Source organism: Homo sapiens, chromosome 2, assembly GCF_000001405.40.
Source record: "Homo sapiens chromosome 2, GRCh38.p14 Primary Assembly".
NCBI classification, from domain to species: Eukaryota; Metazoa; Chordata; class Mammalia; order Primates; family Hominidae; genus Homo; species Homo sapiens.
Window position 1 is genome coordinate 62,576,085 of NC_000002.12, and position 5,169 is coordinate 62,581,253.

Sequence of the window (5,169 nt, forward strand, 5' to 3'; positions counted from 1 at the left end):
GAAAGAGGGAGACATGAGATATAGACAGGGCTGTCTTTGTGGATATCACCCCATATACTCACACAGGATACTGCACATAGAAGGACCCCATACTTGGTTTAATGCTCTGCTGTTGTCATCTTGAAATTCTTATAATTTTTTAACAAGGGACCCCAGGTTTTCATTTTGCACTGGGCCCCACAAATTGTGTGGTCTGATCTTGGATACAATAAGTACATGATCCATCCCAGGTGAAAGGCAAAAGGAATCCTCATAAGGACAGTGAAGAGAGATTCCAGGACAGCTATCAACAGACAGAGGGCAACTGTTTCAGAGAGGAGCATGAGACTCAAGAGACAGACACGTTGGTGACCTTCATAGCCAAGTTTTCACTGCTATTTTACTCTCTTTTTCAACCCCAGGATAGAATGCTTGAGTGAGCTTGTCCAGATTCTTACTGTGTCATGACCTTTTGCTGAAAAAGCTCCAGCTCTCTATTCCATACCCTGCTGCTTGCATCAGTTGAGGACATTCATTGCATCTCACCAAAGATTGTGCTTAAACCTACATCTGAGAGCTGGAGGTGAGTTAGAAAATAGCATCCCCTACCCTCTGACTTTATTTCTGCCTGACTTCAATACCAGGCTCACCTGAGAACATTGCCAGGTGCTCAGACTGCATGGAGCCCTGTGTTTCCTAGGACTGGTGTATGACCTTGGCCACTAACTTCCCCAGAAAGGGCTCCTGTAAATGCTTAAAGAAGCTGATGCCGAGAAATTCTGTTGCATTCATGCCTGAGGTTTCAACTAATAGAACTTTGATATTTTTTTACACAGCTACTAAATTTTCAAAACTAAAGAATATATTGTTTAGGTATGTAAACATAGGTGGTGAAACCATAAAGCAGGGAATGATTAACGTGAAAGTGCCAATTTTTAAAAAGTGCCAATTAATATTAGCCTCTGGATAACCATGGGTGGGAAGTGAACAGAGGAGAGGTTTTGGGGGCAGGTGCATGGGACTCGTTAATGTTTTATTCTTAAACTAGGTTAGGTAGTGAGTACGTGGGTATGGGGTTTTACAGTTTTTTGTTTTTTGGGTTCTTTGTTTGTTTGTTTTTGTTTTTTTTTTGTTGTTGTTTTTTTGATGAGGTCTCACTCTGTCACCCAGCTTGGAGTGCAGTGGTGTGATCTCAGCTCACTTCAGCCTCCACCTTCTGGGCTTAAGTGATCCTCCCTCCTCAGCCTTCCAAGTAGCTGGGATCACAGGCATGCACCACCATGCTTGGCTAACTTTTTGTGTGTGTTTTTGGTAGAGACAGGGTTTTGCCATGTTGTCCAGGCTGATCTCAAACTCCTGAGCTCAAGCAGTCCACCCGCCTCGGCCTCCCAAAGTGCTGGGATTGCAGCCGTGAGCCACCATGCCTGGCCAGTTTTGGGCTTTTAATTCTTCTTTAAATTGTACCTATATTTTAATAAACTCTTCTAAGGGCAGTGAAAAGTAAAATAATGAATTTCAATGCCATTATCATAGGAAAAATTTCATCAACAGCCAATTTGGCCCTTGAGCCACATCAGTCTATATAGTCCTTTTATCATGGAATTTTGAATAAAAGACCTTAGACCAGCCAGTCCAAACTCCTTTTTATTTGTAACCATTATTATTTTAACTGGCTTTTGGTATATGCTCTTACTGTATAAGTTGCAATATAAATTTATAAGTTCATGTTGTTTTAGATGTGTGGTGAGTTATTAGACTCTCCTTGTTTCCTGGTGGTGTTTCTGTATTTTTCCTTCATCTGAGTCCTTTAACTTTTCTAAAGGTATGCTCAAGACTTTCTTCATTGGCCTTGATAATTTCATTCCACTTAAATATGGGGGTGGGACTGTGGAGGTGGAGACTGAAGGAGCCAACTCTGTCTTTTACCACCACAGTTCTCCTTCCTTTACTTCTCCCCCAGAATGTATTCATTTGGGTTTACTCAGTTCAATGCAAAGAGTTTGGGAGCCCAGGATCTTTTTGCCAAATTGGATGTGAGCTGACTCACTGACATATTTCTCAAGTGACCCATTGGTTCAATGAGTAACATCCTGGAAGAAACATGAGTTATTGTTAATCATAATTATTCCTTCACCTTTCCTGGAATGCCTTTGAAGGCACCAGGCATCAGCAATATCTGTCATCAAAAGCTCTTTTGTCTGCAGTTTCTGTGATTGCATTCAGCTTGTTCACAGCAGAGAGAGGTTTTTTTCCTAAGATGATGGCTTCCCTTCTCTCAAAGGTATCCAATATTTAGCCCGCCTGCAGAAAGGAAGTTGGCACAAGTTCTGAAGAGCCAATCAATTCCTTAGCTTGTTCTTCTTGAACAAGTGACCCTTTCTTGGTAGCTCTAGAATTTCACCACAATTGCAGAAGCTGAGTAACTTGTCAGCTGGTCATTTGTAACCAATAAACTGAAAAGATTATCCACCTTACATTTTGGGTAAATAGACAAAATTTGTAATTCTGGAATTGTGTCTTCAGGGCTGACTGTACTGTGGAATCACATCTGGACAAGATTTTGCTGTAGTTCTTGGCATTCCTGAACAGAATAAAAGCATGAAGGAATTAGAAATCTAAGCCAGAACCCATGCCTATTAATGTAGTTGTCTTCGTGTTAAAATGAGTAAAACATAAACTGAAGCACTGAGGTAAGAGGAATATTAGTTGTAACTTCTTTTGGCTGCAAAGGACAGAAACTCTGTGTACAGGCTTAATAGGAAAGGGACTTATAGGGATGCAAGAGAGTCATAGAAGCCAAGGAGAGAAATGTGGTTTGCCCTCAAGATGAGGTTGGAACCAGGAATGAGAAGGACCCAGGGACTCTTTCTTAACTCTGCTCCCCTTTGTGCATGTACATCATCTTTATTCCTCTTTGTAAATCAACTTTTCTTTGCTTCTCAGTGCAACACAGCCACTCCTGTGTTTGTTTTGTTAGTCATGATAGTCTAGGTTATGTTGAAATAAGAAATAAATCCTGGCTGGGTGTGATGGCTCACACCTGTAATCCCAGCGCTTTGGGAGGCCGAAGCTGGCGGATCAATTGAGATCAAGAGTTTGAGACCAGCCTGGCCAACATGGTGACACCCCATCTAAAAATTAGCCAGGCATGGTGGAGCATACCTGTAATTTCAGCTACTTGGGAGGCTGAGTCATGAGAATTGCATGAACCCAGGAAGAAGAGGTTGCAGCTAGCTGAGATCATGCCACTGCACTCAAGCTTGGGTAAGACGGAGTAAGACTCTGTCTCAAAGGAAAAAAAGAAATCCTAAACCATGAAGATGTTCTTCCTAACTCGTGTCACAATTTTCCATGGGCTGAGCAGCACTTCTCCATCCTATCACTATACCATTTGGAACACGTGGCCTCCGAGGTCACTGTGGCAGGGAAACAGAAAGTGAAAAGAGATGAGAAATATTTTCAACAGTTAGGCCTAAAATGATCTCATAATCACTTCTGTCTATTTCCCATTGGCCAGAACTTAGTCACATGGCCTCAACCTAACTGCAAGGAAAACTGGGAAATGAGATGAGCATTGGGAAGTTAGTGAGCACTAACAATCTCAGTCACATCTCCAATCAGCAGAAAACCCAGACCAATTAGTCCAAACTACTTGTTTCCTGAGGTTGTTTCTATGGGTTCAAACTCTGAATTCCTAGGGAAGAGACTCTTGCCCAGCCTTGCTCAGACTCCTGCCCAGCTCTGATCCAATCTGCTCTGTCTTAGAGGCAGGATCATGTTGAACAGAATATCTGCCAGGATCCCATCACTTTTAACATATGGTTCAAATGTGGAAGAGAAGGACAGTACTCAGAAAGGGTAGGCTTCTCAGACAATCGTTAGTGTCCACTACATAGAAGCATGTTTTATTTCTGGAGCCTCTGAGAATCAATCTTACACTATTTATGCTGTTTCTCAATAATGGTTTCTGGGTTTTAGGGAAAACCTTATTTTAAACATGCAAAAATTATAGTGAACCTATTTAGAAGAGTTAGGACTTACTGCTTTTCCCTCTAGAAAACGATTGACAAGACCTACCTTTGGAAATAAGGTACCTGACTTGTGAGGATGGTTACCAGACACACAAATGTGGAAGCCGTTTTTCCTGATCTCAGTTGAGAGCTGCTACTAGAACACAAAGATGGCACTGGAGTCCTCCCAAATGGACACCCCCCTACTGTGGTAGTCATTAGGGTTTTTCCAAAGAGTCTCATTCTTTTCTCCTTCTGGATATAAGATTGCACACCTCTGTCTCCTTTGTAATTAGATGTGGGGATATGACTTACTTTGGCCAATGAAATGGAAACAGAAGGGACATGTGTCACTGGTAGGCAGAGGCTTGAAGAGCCCCTTCATGATTCATCATACTTTCTTCTCCCTGCTTAGGTGATTGTAGAGGCGTATATTGATATGGAATAGCTCGGCCTGGATCTCCCTGCCTACTCATGCTGGACATCTAGCTTGAGCAAACAGTGAACTTTTCGTTGTGTTGAACCACTGAGACTGGGGCTGTTTGTTACTGTAGATAACCTGATCCATTCCAACCACTATATCATCATATGCAGCCATCCATACCACAAGGGACCCCCACCAACATACACAACCATCTGTGGCAATCTTGCTCAATGTAGAGTGCCCTTCCTTCTCTACGCTATCCCTTGGAGGACCAGTTATATGGTTTACACCAGCTTGGCAGTAATTGTCACACTTGAGTTCATTTGCATGGCCCCTTATTGCAAAAGCCATAGGAATGATAGGGCCATGGATATTTTATTTTTTTATATTTCTTATATATATTTTATTTAAGTTCTAGGGTACATGTGCACAACGTGCAGGTTTGTTACATATGTATACATGTGCCATGCTGGTGTGCTGCACCCATTTACTCGTCATTTAACGTTAGGTATATCTCCTAATGCTATCCCTCCCCTCTCCCGCCACCCCACAACAGGCCCCAGTGTGTGATGTTCCCCTTCCTGTGTCCATGTGTTCTCATTGTTCAATTCCCACCTATGAGTGAGAACATGCGGTGTTTGGTTTTTTTGTCCTTGCAATAGTGATAGTTTGCTGAGAATGATGGTTTCCACCTTCATCCATGTCCCTACAAAGGACATGAACTCATCCTTTTTTATGGCTGCATAGTATTCCATG

The 5,169-nt window shown here is 42.2% G+C and overlaps 1 annotated feature.

Moving 5' to 3' along the window:
• Positions 1,694-2,893: an enhancer, noted in NCBI's record as "P300/CBP strongly-dependent group 1 enhancer chr2:62804913-62806112 (GRCh37/hg19 assembly coordinates)". NCBI's record gives its function as "activates an origin of replication core promoter dependent on BRD2, BRD4, P300/CBP, MED14 and CDK7 cofactors, with strong dependence on P300/CBP, by STARR-seq in HCT116 cells {active_cell/tissue: HCT116}" and the evidence as "EXISTENCE:reporter gene assay evidence [ECO:0000049][PMID:35650434]".